This window comes from Homo sapiens, chromosome 11 (assembly GCF_000001405.40).
Source record: "Homo sapiens chromosome 11, GRCh38.p14 Primary Assembly".
In the NCBI taxonomy this organism is placed as follows: Eukaryota; Metazoa; Chordata; class Mammalia; order Primates; family Hominidae; genus Homo; species Homo sapiens.
The window spans coordinates 129,120,282-129,141,964 of record NC_000011.10 but is presented as its reverse complement, the minus strand read 5'-3'; the positions used below and the strand labels follow the sequence as shown (position 1 = coordinate 129,141,964).

The following is a 21,683-nucleotide window of genomic DNA, read 5'->3' as shown; positions in this document are numbered from 1 at the left end:
GATTTATGACAGGTTGTTTTACATTTGCAAATGGTTGCTGTAAGTAATACGCAGAGGAGGAAGAAGCTAGCTTGTGACTTTCTCTTTCTCTCTTTCCTTTTTCTTTCCCTTTATCTCTTTTGCCCTTTCCCTTGTAAAAATAAAACATACAGAAAAGTGAAAAGAAAAAAAAAAGAGGCTTTCCCATAATCCTATTTCCCATGGTGGTGAGATTATTTTGGTATAGGCTTTTTACAATGCAGAGAGTTTTTTTTTTTGATTTTATATATTTTATTTTTAATTGTAATAAAATACACATAGTATTTACCATCTTAACCATTTTTTCTTTCTTTTTTTTTTTTTAATTATACTTTAAGTTCTAGGGTACATGTGCACAACGTGCAGGTTTGTTACATAGGTATACATGTGCTGTGTTGGTTTGCTGGACCCATTAACTCGTCATTTACATTAGGTATTTCTCCTAATGCTGTCCCTTCCCCATCCCCCTACCCCATGACAGGCCCCGGTGTCTGATGTTCCCTGCCTTGTGTCTATGTGTTCTCATTGTTCAATTCCCACCTATAAGTGAGAACATGCAGTGTTTGGTTTTCTGTCCCTTGCAATAGTTTGCTCAGAATCATGGTTTCCAGCTTCATCCATGTCGCTACAAAGGACATGAACTCATCCTTTTTTATGGCAATGCTGAGAGTTTTTTAACAGAACATCCGTATAAGCACATTTTTCCTTATACAAATGTCTTCAAATGGTTAGTTTCAAAGAATATTGCTTTGGGATATATTCTCCTTTCCCATCATGTCTGGGAATATGATTTTTAAAATAATTATGGACAATATACAATTTTATATTTCCTTGCTTTTCCATTTAAACATAAGCATTCTACCTGATTATTAAGGTGCTGTGCAGTGCAGGTGAAACTTCATATTCCCTATTGTATATTATGGGAGTTGCCATAGGTAAAGGAATTGGCAGTTTCACTGGAAGGAAAATATCTCTGAAAAAGACTGGCTAGTGGACACAGTGGTAGACACCTTGGAAGGGGGAATTAAAAAACGTTGCCATGGAAAGGGAAAGGAATTAAATTTTCCTCCCTTTAGGGGGAAAGAGTGTTGTCTTGAGAACTGCAGAATGGGATGTGGAACAGATTGTAGACTTCACACTTAAAATGCAAGATTGCCAGGGAGATAGGAGAGCTGGTTATTGAACTGTGTCAGATCTGTGTACCTCCCTCCAGTTACCTATCTCACCTGCAGAATTTGCTCCTTCCTCTAGGATTTGCCTTCAAGTGCATAGCTTACTCCTTTGAGGAAGCCTTAAGAAGGTGGTTTGGGATGGTACTGAAGTCATTGCATTCAATGGGGTCCTGGGAGTGCTGGGAGGCAAAAGCTTCTGAGGCTTTACATCCCAAGTCCTGGGAAAGAGTTTTACTTCCATGAGAGATAAAGGAGCATATAAAATCTGAGAGCACTCAGAAATTCCTAAGGTCTTAGATGTTGTTAGTATTTGTTTTTTGTTGAATATGTATAAGAAATTATCACAAGCTTAAGGGCTTAAAAGAATACCCATTTATTATCTCACAGTTCTGCATGTTAGAAGTCTGGGCAGGCTTAACTGGGTTCTCTGCTCAGGGTCTCCTAAAGCGGAAATCAAAGTATTGGCTGGGCTGGGTTCTCATCTGCAGATTCTGTTGGCAGAATCCAGTTCCTTATGGTTGTAGATCTGAGGTCCCTGTTTCCTTGCTGGCTGTCATTGTGGGAGGTGTGGTGGCATAACTTTTAGGGGCTGCATGAATTCCCTCTCATGTGACCCCCTCAGGCTTCAAAGCCAGGGGTGGTACTTGGTGCTTCAAATCTTTGACTTTCCCTTCTGCTACCAGCTGGAGAAAACTCTACTTTTGAAGTGCTCATGTGATTAGATTAGGCCTATCCAGATAATTTTTATATTTTAAGATCGACTGACCTGGGATTTTAATTACATTTGCACCCTCTATTCTCAGCAGTACCTAGATTGATTGAACAACCATGGGGTGGGAATCTTGGGGGGCAAGGGAGACCCTCTTTAGAATTTTGCCTACCACAGTCTTACATGTTTTCTCTGGTATTTATACTTCATAATATATTTAACGTGATAACATTGATATATTAGTTTGTTTTCATGCTGCTGATAAAGACATATTCGAGACTGGGAAGAAAAAGAGGTTTAATGGACTTACAGTTCCACATGGCTGGGGAGGCCTCACAATCATGGCGGAAGGCAAGGAGGAGCAAGTCATGTCTTAACATGGATGGCGGCAGGCAAAGAGAGAGAGCTTGTGCGGGAGAACTCTTTATAAAACTGTCAGATCTCGTGAGACTTACTCATTATAACGAGAACAGCACAAGAAAGACCCGCCCCCTATGATTCAATTAATTACCTCCCACTGGGTCCCTCCCATGACATGTGGGAATTGTGGGAGTTACAATTCAAGATCAGATTTGGGTGGGGACACAGTCAAACGATATCAATTGACATTTGTCAATGGAAATTACAGATATTTTAGAAATTTTAATTTCACTAATATACCATAAAATCGATTGGGCAGGGGAAGCATATATATAATCTGTTGTTGTTGATGTTAAATGAAAATGTTGATAAACATATTTAATGACTATACAGTAATAGGACATATTATTGCTGTTTAATTAATAAGACTGAGTTTTGTTATATATTTTTCATTTAGATTAATACCTTTATGATGAGTTTTGCTTTTTCTTTTTACTATTATTTTATAGGGAATTACTTAACTAATTAATATGGAGATTCCCAAATTACTTGCCAAAAGGGTTTTATTAATTCATATTCTAATAAGTAATGTTTAGCGACTTTTGTGCCATTGTTTTCAGTCTTAGAAAGTTTTAAAATATAAAATTTTGATAAGAGGAAAGCTATTTCTCATTGTTCTAATTTTTTATTTTTAAAACTTCATTGTTTCTGAACTTTTTATATGCCTGTTTTAGACATGGTAGGTTTTGTGATAAAAATCCAGTTCAAATTCTGTGATTAACACACTATGCAAATCTCTTCTTTCTTGGTCTCAGTTTCCTCTTTACAGTGGAATGTCTAAATGAGTTATCTTTCAACTCTGTGATTATGTTGAACATCTCTCAATACGCTATTTTGTTTTCTTAGTTAAAAATTGGTAATACTCATTGGTGTTCTGTTAATACCTGTCAGTATGGAGTTTATAGTGTTTTGAAAGGGTTAGACACATAAATAATATGGAGAGGATGGGCTTGTGGTGGGGCTGAATGTAGAAGTAGCCAGCTTTGTGGTTCTGTATCAGAACACAGTGTGTTAAACTACTTTTAAGTCAGTTTACAGTTACCCAGTCAATATTAGCACTTTGAATATGGGACCAAGATAACAAGCTATTTGAAAGATTCTTTAAAGGGTCTGTACAGTGGAGGAATGGTAGAATATTTTTTTGGATTAGGAAACAGTGAAGTAGACAGAATAAAACATTGCTAATTCCTAGTTTTGCAAGTTTTCCATATCAAATTGTATTTTCCTGAAATGGATGAACTGTTCTCTATGTGGTTTAACTGGTTCAGATTATAGGGATACAAATATTTCCCTTGTTAGAGATGCTCTACTTTTTAAGACGGCATTGTTCTTTTTTTTTTTTTTTTTTTACCAGTAAGGGTATACTTGTGGCTTATATTAAGCTTGTGGTAAACTATAGATCTCAGATCTTGTTACATGAATTCTTGTCAAACAGTTTGCTCCCCATCCCCATACTTATATAATTGAATTTTGAATTTAAATTCAGGGCTTCAGTTTTTATTATTGATAAACTTCACATTCATTTGGTTTGTCTTGGCAGCTTTTAAAAATCTCTTTGAATTCTGTCACTCAGTTTGTGAATGTCCATTTCAGTTTTCTTTTATCTATAAATTTGATAAATGTATGTCATATATTTTAATGTGCTTTTATTAAAATGTTAAGAAAAGAATAAAAAAGCCCTGTGATATTCTACCTCCTTCCTGCTGCATGTTAATGTACAGTAATTGACACTGAACATTCTTTAGTATTTAATCAGCTTCAAATTTAACTGTATTAGTATTGAATTCTCATTTTATAATCTTACACACGTGTATCATAAAACACTATATGCTGTGCCATAATCAAGATTTAATACATCATCTGCATGTGACTGTCCACTGTCAGTCTAGCTGCCTTATTTAAACACACAGACACACACCCTCAAAAAAGAAATGAATATGGGTTTCTCCTTAATTTCTTCGATTTTATATTTGTATCTCTTATGATTAAAACCTTAGTTTTTAGTGACATTAACAACTATTTGTTTGCTTTAATCGTCTTCTTTTAATAGTTTCAGAACGATAATGTCACTATTCCCAAACAGTTTGTTTCCTTTCATCTCTAGGACATATCCCACTAGGAATATATTATTAGTACTTTTCTTCACTGTCATTTGAGGTAATTGTTCTCTGTGTGCTTAAGGTACCAACTTATAATTAAGTTCATTTGTTTTATTTGTTTTTTGATCTTAGGGATTGCCCTTTCATCCCATTTTAATTTAATTTAATTTAATTTTACAAATACTTATAACACTTACATGACCCCAAAATCTGAACTACAAAACTGAGACATTCAGAAAAATCTTCCATCCCTATCTCTTTGTTCCCTCCTAGGTAAGCATCTAAATTAGTTTTTAGTTTATCTTCCCATTTTTTTTAAGTGTAAGAAAACACATATATATATTTTTATATTTACAGTCTTTTAGTTAGAAGGTAACCTGTTTTTGTACCATGCTTTTTTTTTTCAGTTCATATATACTGAAGACTACTTCATAGCAATAAATTGAAGTATTCCTCATTCCTTTTATAGCTAAGACTATTCCATTGTGTGGATGCAATATAGTGTATTAAACTGTTTTCTTATTGATAGACATCTAGGTTGTTCTCACCCTTTAGTTACTAGAAACAGTCCTGCAGAGAATAACCTTATACTTATGGATGCATATGGCATTTTGTACTTTTGTCAGTATAAGAAGAAAATGGTTTAAAAAAATCAGTGTTAGTTTGGTAAGATACAAGAAAGAGCAGAGGTAAATATGTTTTCAATCTACTACTCTGCACCAGAAGTCTTGCTAGGTAGTTCTTATCATGAATGGGTGTTGAGTTTTATCAGACAATTTTTCTGTTATCTATTGCAATAATCTAATGCTTTTTCCTCATTTTAATTTTAATTAAAGACTTAATAGATGTTCTATTAAGCCATCTTTGCATTCTTGAAACAAATTTAATTCACTTATGATGTATGTTTTTAACACAATGATAGATTTGATTTATTATTCTATTTAGCTTATGTTTTTTGCATTTGTGTTTAATGAGATTAGCCTATAATTTTCCACTTCCTTGCTATTGTCTGTTTTTCCCATTTAATTTTATTTACTTTGTTATTTAGGTATATCTTACATACAGAGAAGTCACAAACCTTATCTTACAGCTTTATGACTTTTTGCTTATGTTTTCTTCTTATGTGATCACCACCCAGATTTAAACATAGAACTTTTCCTGAAATTCAGAAATCTCTCTTGAGTACCTCTCAGTCATTATCTTTCCCACCAAAGGTAATCGTTGTTTTTATACATGAAATCCTGCAATATGTAGTTTTTGTGCCAGGGTTCTGTGTGTAATAGAATCTTACGTGGGCCTTATTTCTATGATGATTATTTATGTTTGGCACCATTTCATATTCTTATTGACCCTTGAGATATCCTCTTTTGTAATGTGCTCATTCAAGTTTTGCCTTTTTTTTCTGTTAGGTTGTCTTTTTTTAGGTTAATGTTTAGAAGTTCTTTATCTATTATGGGCACTAGTCATTTATCTGAGACATATCTTCCAATTTCTTCTTTTAGACTCTGACTTATCTTTTTGAATGCTTAATTTTATCATTTGGTAATCAGAAATGCTTAGATTTAGTGAAGTCCACTTTATTAAATTCGGTAGGGTGTCGGAATAATTGTTTTTTCCGTGTGTGTCCTTTTAAGAAATCTTCGCCTATCCCAATGTCATGAAGGTACTTTATAGAAGAACATGTTAACCTTTTATGTTTGGGTCTGTGAACTATTTAAAATTGATTTTTGTGCATGATGTGAGGTTTGGGTCAACATTCTTTTTTTGTTTGTTTTTTTTTGAGATGGAGTCTCGCTCTGTTGCCCAGGCTGGAGTGCAGTGGCGCGATCTCAGCTCATTGCAAGCTCCGCCTCCTGGGTTCACACCATTCTCCTGCCTCAGCCTCCTGAGTAGCTGGGACTACAGGCACCTGCCACCACGCCTGGCTAATTTTTTGTATTTTTAGTAGAGACAGGGTTTCACTGTGTTAGACAGGATGGTCTCGATCTCCTGACCTTCTGATCCGCCAGCCTTGGCCTCCCAAAGTGCTGGGATTACAGGCGTGAGCCACCACGCCCGGCCAGCGTTCATTTTTATTCATATAGAAATCAGATTGACTTAGTACAGTTATTGAAATGGCCATCTTTTTTCTGACTTAATTGCGGTGGTGCCTTTGTCATGAGTCAGATAACCATATTGTTGGCTGCTGTCTGAATTCTCTATTGTGATCTTTTGGTCCATTTTTCTAGACTTAGACCAGATACCACACTGTCTTAGTTATTATACTTTTACAGTAAAACTTGATATCTGATAAGTAGTGTCTTCCAGCTTTGCCCTTCTTATCTTGGTACTTCTGTGTCTTTTGCATTTCTATATACATTTTTAGAATTAGTTTCCCAATTTCTGCAGATAAGTCTACAGATAATATTGGGGAAGAATTGATGCCTTGACATTATTGTATCTTCTAATCTATGCAAATGAGGCACATGTGCATGTATAATATATCTATTTAGATTGTCTTTAATTTTTGAACAATGTTTGTAGTTTTTAGTGTAGAGTTCTGTCTCAATGTGTTCTGGCTGCTATAACAGAATACCTTAGACTTGGTAATTTATAAACAATAGAAATTTATTGCTCATAGTTTTGGAGGCTGGGAAGTCTAAGATCAATCCAGCAGATTCAGTGTCTGGTGAGGGTTTCTTTCTTAGATGTGGCACCTTTTATGTGTTCTCACATGGTGGAAGACAAAACAGGCTCCCACAGCTCATGCCTCTTTTATAAGGGCACTAATTCCATTCATGAGGGCAGAGCCATCATGATGTAATCACTTCCCAAAGGCCTGACCTCTTACTACCCTCACCTTGGGCGTTAGGTTTTAATATACACATTTTGATGGAACACAGATGTTCAGAACATAGCAAGGTCTTTCACATTTTTTATTAGAAATGTTCCTAGGTATTTGATGTTTTCTTCAATGCTATTATAGTTGGAATTTTAAAATTGGTTTTAAAATTTTATATTCTGCATGTTTATTGCTAATATGTTTCAAATCTAGTTAATTTTTGTGTATTTACTTTATGCCTAGAGACCTTGATACATTCTTTGATTAATTCTGAGTTTGTGAATTCTTCAAATTTCACATGTGCACAGTCTTTTATTTCTTTTACTTTCCTGATTACGCTGGTGAGGCACTCCAGAATAATGATGAATAGATGTGGTACATACATCCTTCTCTTGTTCTTGGTACCAAATTTGAAACTTTAAATATTTCATCATTAAGTACTATAGACCTTTAGTTTCTTTCTGGATACTTTTTCAAAAATCACATTAAGGATGTTCTCGCTCTCTTTTTTTTTAATGAACAGGGTTTGGAATTTTTTCAGATGTTTTTACTGCCTCAGAGATGACTATATGATTATTTTCTCCCCTACAGTCTTGGGATGATCTGTTTGATCGTAGTGTTTTTATCTTTTTTACATACTCTTGGTTCCAATTTACTAAACTTTTCATATTATACTTAAAATTATTATTTTATACTTCAAGTAGAATGTAGAAATCCTACCACCATCGAGGTTCCCTTATCTACCATCGTTATGTTAAAGTTTTTATATAGATCACATAAACTTTCATCAGACAGTTTTATAATTTGTGCTTTCAACTGGCACATATATTTTAAAGCATGTAAGTGGAGATTAATAATCTGTTATATTTGCCTAATTATTCACCATTTCTGTTGTTCTCTCTTCATGCCGGAAGGGCCAAATTTCAGTTAACCTGAGTTATTTTCCTTCTCCCTGAAGAGCTTCTTTTAGCATTTCTTTTAGAGCCTATCTACTGGTGACAAATTCTCTTAGTTTTCTCTTATCTTAGTATGTTCTTATTTTTACATCATTTCTGAAGGATATTGTCACTTGATGCAGATTTCTGGGTTGAGAGTTCTTTCCGAATTGTATAGACGTTGCTCCACTGTCTTCTGGTTTCTGATGAGAAATCCACAGTCATTTAAATCCTTATTACTCCATACCAATACATAATGTATCTTTTTTGTTTCTGGATGCTCTCAGAATACTTCCTTTATATTTGGTTTTCAACAGCTTGATTATGATGTTTTGGTTTGTAGTTTTCTTTGATGTTACTTGTTTTGTTTTCTGTGATCTTGAATCTGTAAATATATATCTTTCAATAAATTTGTATTGTTTTCAGAAATTTCACTTTTTTCCTGTATTATTGTGTTTTTTCTCATCTTCAGAGACTTCGAAGACATGAGTGTTAGAGCTTTTGATATTGTCCGTTAGCTATCTATAGGTCTGTTCATATTTTGTCAGTCTTTTAAAAAAATTAACTATCTTTTCTTCAGATTGCATGATTTTTTGTCTGTTATCAGGTTCACTGACTCTTTTCTCTGTCACTCTTCCTCCTGCTCACTCTTCCCCCTGCTTACTCTTCCACCGGCTCTAAACATGTAAGACGTGCCTCCTTCCTCTTTGCCTTCCGCTGTGATTGTAAGTTTCCTGAGGCCTCGCCAGTCATGCTTCCTACACAGCCTGTGGAATCGTGAACCAACTAAACCCCTTTTCTTTGTAAATTACCCAGTCTCAGGGTATTTTATTAAGCTAAGCCAGTATTTTTTATTTGGGATGCTACATTTCTCTGTTCTAAAATTTATATTTGGGTTTTTTATAGTTTTTATTTTCTTTTTGTAAGAGAATTTCAGTCTTTCCATTGGTTCCAATATCTAATGCAGTGTGTTTATAATACCTGTTTTAAAGTCTTTGTCTGATTAGTCCAATCTGTTTCATTTCAGATTTGACATTTCTAGGTTGTATTTTCCTATGGAAATAGCTCATATTTGTCTGGTTTTTGATATAGCTAGTAATTTTTAATTATGTCATGGACATTCTGAATATTATGCTGTGAGACTCTGACTCCTTATTGAAATCCTCTGGAGAGTGTTGATTTGTGCTTTATTAGACAGCAGCCTGGCTGGGTTCAGATTGAAGTTTCATCTAGATTTTTATAGGTGGTGTTTTCAACATCAGTTCAGTTTCATGGGGATCACTGTGGTCTTATCCTGCTTTTTTTTTTTTTTCTCCCCCTGATCTTGCTCTGTTGCTCAGGCTGGAGTGCAGTGGCATAATCATGGCTTTCTGCAGCCTTAACCTTAGGCTCAAGCAATTCTCCCACCTCAGCCCACTGAGTAGCTGCAACTACAGGCACATGCCACCATGCCTGGCTAACATTTAAATATTTCTGTAGAGATGGGGTCTCCCTCTGTTGCCCAGGCTGGCCTCAAACTGCTGGATTCAAGCGATCTTCTTGCCTTGGCCTCCCAAAGTCTTGGGATTACAGGCATGAGCTACTGCGCCCAGCCTGCCGTTTTTTATTGGGGACTTTGCCCACATTCTCTGGCTCTCCAAGACTGCTTTTCTTGTTTTCTTTCGTGAGAAAGATGAAATTCTTTAAGAGTTTTAAAACTCTTGCACTGAGCATTAGGAAAAATAGCTCATGCATGCTAGGCTTAACACCTAGGTGATGGGTTGACAGGTGCAGCAAACCACCATGGCAGATGTTTACCTCTAACAAACCTGCACATCCTGCACATGTACCCCAGAACTTAAAAATAAAAATTAAAAACAAAAAAGTCTTGTCTTGCACTATTTTTCCTGATTTGGGCTGCTGTCAGGTCTAAGTAATGCAAGAAGAGAGAGAAAATAATACCAAGGGTTATCCCCACAGACTTTATACAGTAGGGTCTTCCTTTATTGTTTCTCTACTCAAAAATGGGTTTTCACTCAGGCTCTTAAGTACCCATACCACCACTCACCTGGTGATGTGGTTTGGATTTGTGGGCCCATCCAAATCTCATGTCAAATTATAATTCCCAAAGTTGGAGGAGGGGCCTGGTGGGAGGTGATGGGATCATGGGGAAGGATTTCCCCCTTGCCGTTTTCGTCATAGTGAGCGAGTTCTTACGAGATCTGGTTGCTTAAAAGTGGTTTTGGGTGGTTTTTTATTGGAGACTTTGCCCACATTCTCTGGCTCTCCAAGGCTGCTTGTCCTGTTTTCTTTGGGTGGTTTTGATATCTGTGGTTAACTGGTATTATAAAATGAGTGTGAAAGACATCATTCTTTTTCAGTTCTATGGAATATTATTATTCTCTCATTTCTCATTGTTTCCGTAGTTATCATAACTATTCCAGACGAATGTAGAACCAGCTAAAGTTCTATAAAAATTCCTCTTGACCTTTTTACTGTTAATTTTTAATTGAAGTTTAACACACACACACATAAGTGAGTAAAATGCACTAATGTTTGTCCATTTGATGTCTTGTATACTTCTGTGAAACCACCACCCACACCGAGATATAAAACAGTTCTTGGTAAGGTTTTTTCGTATTTCTCACCAGCCAGTTGTAACACTTATTTCTATGAATAATTTTACCTATTCTTGAACTTCATATAAATGTAATAAGACAGCAAGATTTTTTTCTTCTGTCTTCTTTCATGTACTATAACAACTGTTAGATTTATTCATGTTGTTTAATATATTAATAATTATTTTTCGATCACAGAATTCCATTGCATATATATGTATGCCATAATTTATTCACTGATTCTGCTCTTTGTGTATTTGTAATGTTTCTATTTTTAGTGGTTATGAATAAGCTTCTGTTAATATTTATGTACAAGTTTTTGTTGTACATGTGAAATAATTTAGGGGGATACATATTTGGGAGTGTAGTCATAGGATCATGGAGTATGCTTAGTAGGAATTACCAATTAATTATCATACAATTTCCCAAATGGCTATGCTGTTGTATACTCTAACCACCAATGCATCTTTGCCAACACTGGTACCCTATTCTACTTTATTTTTAATTTGGGCTTTTTGGCAGGTGTGCACTGTTACTTCATTGTGATTTTATTTTGCTTTTTCTTGATGAATAATGACACTGAGTAGCTTGATTATTGGCTATTAGTATTCTGTTCTGTGAAATAACTGTTGAGGTTTTTTTTTTGCAAGTTTAAAAATTGGATTATTAGTTATTTTGTTACAAGGATTTCTTTATATATGTTGAGTATAACTTCCTTGTTTGTAATTTTGATGTCGTTGAATGTATTAATTTTTTTTGCTTATGAGTTTTTTTTGCTTCTTGCTACTTACCTCAGATTTATTATTGTGTTTATTTTTAGAATATTTATTTTTCATAATGAATGAATTTCCATCCTGAATTAATTTTTGTATATTATTTAAGAGAAGATTGAAGTTTTATTCTTAATTTTTGCATACTTTTAAAAACTGTACTGTTCTGATTGATTGACAATGCTGTTCTTTTGAATTGCATTGGCTCCTGTGTCATAAATAAACTTTTATCGTATACGTGTGGGCCTTTTTTGGATTGCATTATATTTCATTCATTTGTTTATCCTTAACTCCAGTGGCACTTTGTCTTACTTAGTATTGCTTTATAATAAGTCTTGAAATTAGAAGGTCTAAGTAAGGCCTCCAATTTCGAGGTTTATAATTTTAATGGAAAGCTATTAACTATGTTGGCATATTATGTCATACAAATATGACTAGCTTTAACTTAATTTTTAAAAAATCTTGAAGATAGAGAATATAAGTTGAAAACAGTATTACACATACCAATAACTACATACCAACCAAAATGTGAAGTTATGTTCAACTCTTTTGTTAATTATAAAAGAAAGGTGAAGAAGTAACTATCAGAATGAAAAAAGTAAAGATTGAATAATATTTAATGTTTGTGAGGTTGTCAGAAAATAGGCACTCTTGTGCATACTTGGTAGCAGTGTGAATTAGATCAGGCCCTCTGGAAGATCATTTAGCAGTGTGCTTCAAACAGTAAGGGTAAAATATATATATATATTTTTGGAGTCTCCCATGTCTACTTCTTTCTACACAGACACAGTAACAATCTGATCTCTCTTTCTTTTCCCCATATTTCCCCCTTTTCTATTTGACAAAACCGCCGTCGTCATCATGGCCCGTTCTCAATGAGCTGTTGGGTACACCTCCCAGACAGGTGGCGGCCGGGCAGAGGGGCTCCTCACTTCCCAGACGGGGCGGCCGGGCAGAGGCGCCCCCCACCTCCCAGACGGGGCAGTGGCTGGGCGGGGGCTGCCCCCTACCTCCCTCCCGGACTGGGCGGCTGCCGGGCGGAGGGGCTCCTCACTTCCCAGACGGGGCGGCTGCCGGGCGGAGGGGCTCCTCACTTCCCAGACGGGGCAGCTGCCGGGCGGAGGGGGTCCTCACTTCCCAGACGGGGCAGCTGCCGGGTGGAGGGGCTCCTCACTTCCCAGACGGGGCAGCTGCCGGGTGGAGGGGCTCCTCACTTCCCAGACGGTGCGGCTGCCGGGCGGAGGGGCTCCTCACTTCTCAGACGGGGCGGCCGGGCAGAGACACTCCTCAGTTCCCAGACGGGGTCGCGGCCGGGCAGAGGCGCCCTTCACATCCCAGACGGGGCGGCGGGGCAGAGGCGCTCCCCACATCCCAGACGATGGGCGGCCAGGCAGAGACGCTCTTCACTTCCCAGACGGGGTGGCGGCCAGGCAGAGGCTGCAGTCTTGGCACTTTGGGAGGCCAAGGCAGGCAGCTGGGAGGTGGAGGTTGTAGCGAGCCGAGATCACGCCACTGCACTCCAGCCTGGGCAACATTGAGCACTGAGTGAGCGAGACTCCGTCTGCAATCCCGGCACCTCGGGAGGCCGAGGCAGGCAGATCACTTGCGGTCAGGAGCTGGAGACCAGCCCGGCCAACACGGCGAAACCCCGTCTCCACCAAAAAATGCAAAAACCAGTCAGGTGTGGCGGTGCGGGCCTGCAATCCCAGGCACTCTGCAGGCTGAGGCAGGAGAATCAGGCAGGGAGGTTGCAGTGAGCCGAGATGGCGGCAGTACAGTCCAGCCTCGGCTTTCACAACTTTGGTGGCATCAGAGGGAGACCGGGGAGAGGGAGGGGGAGGGGGAGGGGAGGGAAATATTTTTAATCATAAAATTAGAGCTATTAAAATGACTTTGTTAACTGTAGACTTTCATAGATAATAATGTCATCTAGGGGAATTAAAAATCAGAGATAAAATCTTTATGTGCTTTTCTAGGGTAGTTAACAATACTCAGTTTCTTTGTTTTCCTTGAAGGCTGCTAAATTTTAGTGTTTTAATGGGGATTGTGGATGTCAAATACTAGTAAAATATGTACACATGTTATTCCATTGGCTTCATGCTCAAGGAATTTATCCTCTTGATGAATGGAAAAGTCTTTTATTAGAGAACACTACATGGCAATTTGCATTAAAAGATGAATAAAAATATAATGAAATGCCCCAATATACTGTATACAGGATAAATCCTTTGAAAGATTAATGAAGGAAAGTATCAGCATTTGGCAAAATTATCGGTATAGGATTAAACAGACTAGGTGGATTTGAATTGGATTTTGGGGACAGGGTTGTATAGGCAGGGATAATGAACATGTTGAATTATATAGTGTAAACAAGTAGGGAAGAGTGAGGAAATAAAAATTGTTATTGAATCCATTAATTTCCTTAATGTTTTTGTCTAATTTTCCAGGAAGCCAGTTAATTGCTAGAGATAGACACATAGAGAGTTTAAATGTAAATGGTGCGTGCTTTTATGAACATATGTTCAGTTGCCTTTTGAGGTCTTTTGAATGTTCTGTTGATGAATGATGCTGTTACTGTGTTGATGATATTATAAACTCTTATTTTAGAAGCATAATTAAGTGATAATTATAACATGAAAATAGGAAAACTTGTTATTTTTATGAATAAATATCAGTTAATGAACTATTTTCTAAAAAAGAACTTTCTTAATCTTTGGTTTGGAGCAACAGAATAAGTAACTCAAGCTATGTGCTCTCAATAGAAATTTAAGATAATTTGTTTTATTTTTAAAATATGTAGGTGAAAATATTAGTTCATCAGGTGATTGAATAATAGTACAGTATTTTCCTTTCAGTTCTACTGGCTTCATCTTGAAAGAGTAAATGACAAAACCTTGTTATGTTAAAGTGTATTGTATTTGTTCATTCACAAAAATATACTGAGAGGCTAGGATATTCCTGGAACTTTTCTGTGCTCTAGGAAAATATTGCTGGACAGAACATACATGGGCACAGACTAGTTGAACTATTGGTTCAAACATATTTTCTTGAATCCTCTGAAGCTTTTTGGACCGTTGTTTGGTTCACTGGCCTAATTATTATCATTTTGTCTTTTTAGGCAGAGGTTTTCCCGTCAGGCCCTTTTGCATAGCCTGTGGATTTACCTTTGGGTCATGTTTCCATCTACAGTCCAGTCAGTTGTGGTTGCAGAGGTGTGTGGTACATGATGTTCCTCCCTCATTCGGATTATAGGCTGGGCAGGTTTTCTCGTTTTCTCTTGAGATGTATTTAGGAACAGTGGCCTCCCCAGCTAGCACAAAGAGCTTGTTTTCAAAAGAAAGCTAACGTTTCAATTTCCAGTCTACCAAATAAAGTCATCACCATTTATTAACTCAGTCTAGTGGATTCTTTTTTATTCTTTTATATTTTTAAGTCAATTTATGAACAATACAGAGTAGTGAAAAGCCACTTTATTAGAAATTTTAGTAAGAATCTAAGCTTGGCGAACCTGTTAAGTAAATTTTGGTGCACAAACATCATAAAAGATGAAAGAGTATTGTCACACTTTCACTTTTTTTTAATGGCAAAACCAGGTGATCCAGGTTGTCGCAGAATATTGCATGAAAAAGTACTTTCAGTTGAATGACCAACTGGAGAATACTGTATTTCCTTTTTTGTCCTTAGAAATATATTGTTCACTCAATTCTTAATACTCAATACTATATTCATCTAGGATATTATAATTAGTCTGATATATCATGTACGTGGTTGTTTTGCCGTCTTTATTAGAGTCTAGAGTGCTGTTGTCTCTTTGTACCCACCTTTTCATGTATCTGTTCATTATAAGGTATCTTTCTTTGTCAGTGTTTTTCTCTTTTCTATAAGTGAAAGAAAATGAAAACTATTGAATTAGTGAATATATTAAATGAAAGTGAAATGCAGACTAGAAAGATGGTGTCTCCAAGCTTTTTAAATACCTTCTTGAAGATGAGGCAGTTTAGGCAACACAGTATAAAAACTGAATGATAACTTATTTCACTGTGGCATCAACTTTGTAGGACAGGGGTTTGCGAACTTTACCTTGTTGGATGCCTGTTTTTGCATATCAAGTTTTATTGGAACATGGCTGTGTTTGGTCATTTATAAGTAGCTACTTTTACACTGCAATAGCAGAATTGAATAGTGGCAAAGATAATGTGGCCCACAAACCTAAAATATTTACCGCCTGGCTCTTTAAGAAGTTTGTCAACGCTTTTTCTAGGATATTATCTCATTTTCCCTTTTTAAAAATATACTTTTTATTTTAGTCTTAAAATTTTTTTCTAGTATGATAGGGTATAATTGAATGATGATGAGTACTGATGAAATAATACCTAGGATTATGAAGTAACTTTGTTTCAAGATAGAGGAAAAATAAGACAAGATGTTACCTCATATTTATAAAAAGTTTCATTGAATCCGTGTGGTAGCCGCAAGATGGAATGAGTTCTGTTTCATTACTAAAGAATCTAGTAATACTCTGTTTTCTTTGGGAGACCTCTAAGAAGGAGTAAAAATATATCTAAGAAGTCTTGATCATGAAATACCAACCCTTATAAATAGTTAAATTTGCTAAGAAAAAAAAAACCCTCAAAAAGGAAAATTGAACCCAGCACACTGTGATGATGTAACAAGGTTTAATTCTCATAAGTTCATGCATTGTTACCTCATATCTTTGAAAAGTCCTATTTAAAAAAAAAAGTATGTAAACTGTCTGGCTTTTTTGTTTTCTCACAAGAAAACATTGCAAAAGTTAAGGTTGTGATTCTCCTCCCAACTTACTTTAACTGCTTATCTCACATTATTCGCCCCTATTGAATCATGTGGCATGGGCTATCATAATTCAACTTAAGTTTTTTTAAAATTATAAGTCATAGGTATTATAGCACAAATTTATTTTTAAAATAGATATTTGGACTTGACTTTTATTTTGTCCAGAGTGTTAAGAACTTTTTGATTTTTCATTTTGTTTTTTAAAAAATGATATACTTGATTGTATCACTGAAGTTAAGAATTCACCACTATGAAAACTGTGACAGACTAAGGAGTAATTTGGAAGTATTATATACATGTCATGTTCAGATTTTGGTGTGAGAAATACATGTTTTAATCTCCTAATTTCTTTTTTTATATTAGCATTTTAATGTTTATTAATTATTTTAACAAAGGTTATTTTATTCCAACAACTTCCAGGGGAAATTTTAATTCGTATTGAGGTATATAATAGCTGGTTTTGAAATTTGATTACAAAAGCATGAAAATTCTTATTCTCACAGAAAAATTTCCCTTATACAGTAAAGCTGAATATTTAAATCAGGTGAATAATTTATATTCTTAATAATTAAAACTCAGTAATTTTAAGATTATTAAACCAAGATATATTTTGTAGGTAAAAAGTCAGCAGAACTATTAACATAAATTATAACCTGCTTTTTAAAAAAGTGTAATACTAAAGTAATAGCCATAAATATTTTGTCTTTATTTTTTAAGGCAAGAGGCGCAGATGTTCCAGAGATTCCTGGAGATCTTACTCTTAAGACGTGTGGCAGTACAGCCAGTATGAAGGTTAAGCATGTGAAAAAGTGAGTATAACTTTACAGTGGATTCTAAATGAATTCCTACGAATGGAAATCAGTTCTTCAATTCTCTTAAAACTTTTATTTAGACTTTTTACAAAAATATGCTGTTACTGTGCAACTGCTAATCCTTAAATTATGACTCAGCAGTCAGTGGAATAGGCCTATAGATTATCCACTCCTCTAAAATATACTTTATTTTTGTTCTTGAAGCAACTTATGTCATTTTCTGTTATTTTACAGTTGTTTGATAGGAACAGTCTAACCATGTCATTCTTGGTACCCTTAGTGCATGCTCTCATTCATTCAGAAATATCAGCTTTATTGTTTGAGTTATGAGATTATTAGATTTCAGGTTTGCCTTTGAGGAGCATGAAGTAGATGCCAAGAGTTGACTGTTAAGTGAAATACAGGTTGAGCATCTCTAATCTGAAGCTATGAAATCCAAAGTGCTCCAAAATGTGAAACTTTTTGAGTGCCAACATGGCAGCACAAATGGGAAATTTCACACCTGACCTTACGTGAGTGTTCACAGTTAAAATTTTGTTTCATGCACAAAATTATTTAAAATGTTGTATAACATTACCTTCAGGCTCTGTATAAAATGTATTTGAAATATAAATGAATTTTGTGTTTAGACTTGGGTCCCAGCCCCAAGATATCCCATAGATATATGCAAATATTCCAAAATCTGAAAAAATCTGAAATCCAAAACTCTTCTGGTCTCTGTGCCATTTTGAACAAGGACTATTCATCGTGTACCTGAAAGTAATCAGTTTTAAAGAGGAAAACCATCTTTTCACTTAGTAGAGTTAGATAGTTATGCTTCATGTGTAAGTAGAGGAAAGACAAGGATAAAAATGTTCATTCTGCGTTCAGGTCCACCACTCCAGGACTGATGGGCTGTGACAACATTCACAGGTAAAATCTGGTTTTCTACTTTGTGTTGGGAATGCTTCTGGTTAGAAGCTGGCTGTCCACAGTTTCCATAACATTTGCCGAAAATAGCAGTTTTTCTATGGACATTGATTCGGGTCAAAATTAGGAGATAACGGTGATGCTTTTTTTATTTTGGGTTTTGATCTGTACACTAAATGTAATACTCATCTGACTCAGTGTATTTTTAAGAGGATTTGTGCGGATATGTGTGGCTCATGCGCATGTGCTTACGAAATATTTTTGCTTGCATGAGCTCTTAAATCCACTGTATTTTTCCCTTAAACTTAGTAATTTTTACTGTTTCACTATCTCGTTTCTTATTTATTTCATGTGTTTCAGGTTACCCTTCACTAAAGGTCACTTTCCGAAGATGGCTGAATGTGCGCATTTCCATTATGAGAATGTTGAGTTCGGCAGCATACAGGTATACTGAAATATTTCTTACATCTTGAATTAAGATTTACACATTTACCTTTATATCTAGATGCTTATCTATATATCTGTATCTAATAGATGACACTTTGAAGTAGTTTTTTTTTTAATTGATGTCTTATTGGTTGAGGTAAAATCTTTCTTCTCTTCTATTGACAAATACTTGATGTCACGTTGACATATGAAAGTAACCATCACACTAACATGTATCAGTTAAGGAAAATCAGTCCTGTCCCCCTCCGTTTTCCTGTATCATGTCCATATGTCCATGGCTTTGTGTAGTGACTTTCTATTCTGAAATTATGTAAACTTGTCTTAATTAATTGTTGTGAGCTTTGATACTTGGTAGATTAAAGTGTTCTCACTTTATTCTTCTTTTTCAGAAATGTTTTTACTGTTACTGCCTTTTCATTCACATACAAATTATTGAATCTAACTTGACATCAACCTACATACTTTGCTCTTATATCATTGGCAGCTTAATGTCCTTTGTACATTATATATATATTAATGTGAAAAAACTATTAAAAACCTAAAAAATAGCTAGATTGTGGTTATTTAAAAAATTATATTTCCCCAGGGGAACAAAAGCCACCCTTTACATTGTCTTTCAAATTAGGCTAATAGAAAAAAAAGTCTTGATTTCTACACACAACATGTAGAGGTAGTCCACTTCCTGTCCTTGCCCTAACCACTGTCTCTCCAGAAGAAAACTCCTGAGACATGACTGATTTGTGTCACAGTGTGCTACTTTTTGTAATTTTATTTCATAAACAAGTGAGATGAATTTGATCTATAGGATTTATGAAAGTGAAGGACATTTCTATTTCAAATAAATTGACAGTTTAAAATAGCACTAGAGATTTATAATGCTGTGACATCAAACAAAGGATATTTTGTTCCATTAGTGTGTATATCCTTGAGATTGCAGTTAACATGATAAATTTCTTAGGTCAGGAAGAACTGATTAAGAAAACAGTAATGAGTACATTTTTCATTTTGTGACTGTTAAGCATTTGATATATCTGTTTGAGTGATTTAGTTTACTCAGCTTGCAATTTAGGTAAATTATTTTCTACTTAATTTATTTTGCTTTTTTTTTTAATCTTTACAAGGTTGAATGAACTCTTTTGGGGGCAGTAAACATTGTGAGGAGTTTTAGCAAATTGAAAAGAAATAGGAGGCTAGAGATCTAAAAACAGTCCAAAGAATATTTAAATGTTAACATTATATGAAAGGTTAGGAAATCTCTAAAGCATCTGATTTAAAATAAAAACAAAACTGTTAATGGTAAACATTGTATAATGAAATAGAAAAAGCACTGGCCTTAGTTCACAAACATAGATTCTAATTTTCTTTTTGCTTCTTAGGAAATTTATGACCTTGGGCAAGTAGCTTAGCCTCTTTGGTTTTATTTCCTTTATGAGGTGAATGAGGTTGTGCTAAATAGTATCATAGTTCTAAACTTTTATTATTTTATATTTAAAGAGTTTATAATGGCTGCATTGAAGATGTGGGTAGGGAATAGACAGTTGTTATTCAGCTGCGTTTGGCTCTCCTGAGATTTTGTTAAATGCTGGTTATTAGAGTCCAGTCCTCTTAATTGGAGGACTGTGTCTAATTTTTATGGGAGAACACATTTGGTAGACTTTTACCAATGAACAGACCTGTAATCTTCATTTTAGATTACACACCATGTTTCACTTTCCCCATTGCACTTACTTCAACCCTGTAGAATTCCATTACTCAGGCAGAAGAAGGAAAAAAAGATGTGATACTAACTCAGTTTGTGACCCTGCTTGTATGAGGTGTATGAGTGAGATGTTTCAGGATTGTATTGATTGACCAGGAGGCCTGGAGTATGGAAGATAGGGGTGGTTCAAAGGAAACCAGCCCAGCTGCACCTTGCCAGTCCACACCAGAATCTTCTTTCTGTGTTTATGGTCCTCTACTTGGCACAGCTCTCCTGCCCAGTTTTGTCCTGCCTCTGTTCTGTGTCTTTGGAGACTGGCCTCTACATATCACATCTACCAGTTTTGCTTGCCTTCTGCTTCTGGTTGAATTCAACCCATGTTAGATACCATCAGGAGGAAAACATTAGTTTCCATTAACTAAGTTGTGTAGCAAAAGAACTATAATAGCATCCTGGCTTGACTTACATGCTTATGTTTTTTATCTTGGGTTGCTGTTCTCTCTTTGGCTAGTATAAGGTTTTACATTTTGATGGACTGATTGAATGCCATTTAAAGAAAAAAAAAACAATCATATTAACCTCTAAACAATCCTATGTTCTATCTGCTACAGGCAGTTAAAATAAAGTTCCTATGTCTCAGTTCTTATTCTTTATCATTTTATAAACATCTTGCTTTTTACATAGGTAAAAATTAGCACATTTGATTCTAAACGTGTTTATGGGAAATGAATCCTTTATTTTCAATATAAGGTTGGAATATGTTCTGAAGAGAAAACAAGTAAGAAAACTTAGTAAAATGTGTCAATAATAGATCATCAGTTGTATGCTGGGCAGCTCTAGTATAAATCAGTAGGTTATTCATACTGTCAATTGGCCAACTTGGTTGTTGCTTTTTAATATGTACCAATTCTGGGACATTCTGCAGTGACATACCTTCTCTTTTTCACTCTGATCTTAGAAATTTCTCTTAGATTTACAGATTCATTGTCTTTATGTTTATAGCTCTTTCTTCTCTTCAGATCTTGAAAGTTTATAATTGCAGTTGGCCATCATATCCTAGTATGACAGAGATGTTAACGTCTTCTACATTTTAAAAATCCAGACAAAATAATCTTTAACTTTCTGGCTTTTAGTTCTGGAATGAAATAGTTATTTTTAATCCTATATGTTAGAAATTCCAATGATCAATTTTATTTAGTCTGAAAGACACAGTTGCTTAAAAAACAATTTAGACATGTCAGTACTTTTACTGGGTCAGTACTATCATTACCATATAATGATATGTAATGTACAAAGGACAATTTTATGATCTCTTCTTTGAATTCCAGCCTTGTATATCCAACTGACTTCCCTGCATCTTCACTTGGATGCCTAATAACACCTCAATCATTGCAGCGTGCCAAGAACAGTCTTTCAGACCTGCTCTTTCTGCTGACTTCCCATCTTGGTAAATAGCAACTCTA

General features: G+C 35.5%; 1 protein-coding gene across 13 annotated transcripts in view; it reads left to right on the top strand.

The window, feature by feature from the left end:
* Window positions 1–21,683, top strand: part of ARHGAP32 (Rho GTPase activating protein 32) — a 314,573-nt gene that overhangs the window by 137,668 nt on the left and 155,222 nt on the right. For 6 of the 13 annotated variants that reach the window (XM_047427927.1, XM_047427926.1, XM_017018595.3 and 3 more), the window contains exons 3-5: window positions 17,071–17,162; window positions 18,036–18,077; window positions 18,435–18,519. In XM_047427927.1, the coding sequence (XP_047283883.1) occupies window positions 17,071–17,162; window positions 18,036–18,077; window positions 18,435–18,519 (219 nt within the window). Of the gene's footprint in view, window positions 1–14,659; window positions 14,754–17,070; window positions 17,163–17,504; window positions 17,678–18,035; window positions 18,078–18,434; window positions 18,520–21,683 lie in introns of those variants that run through there. The other 7 variants (XM_047427929.1, NM_001378025.1, XM_047427930.1 and 4 more) reach the window with 4 other exon arrangements.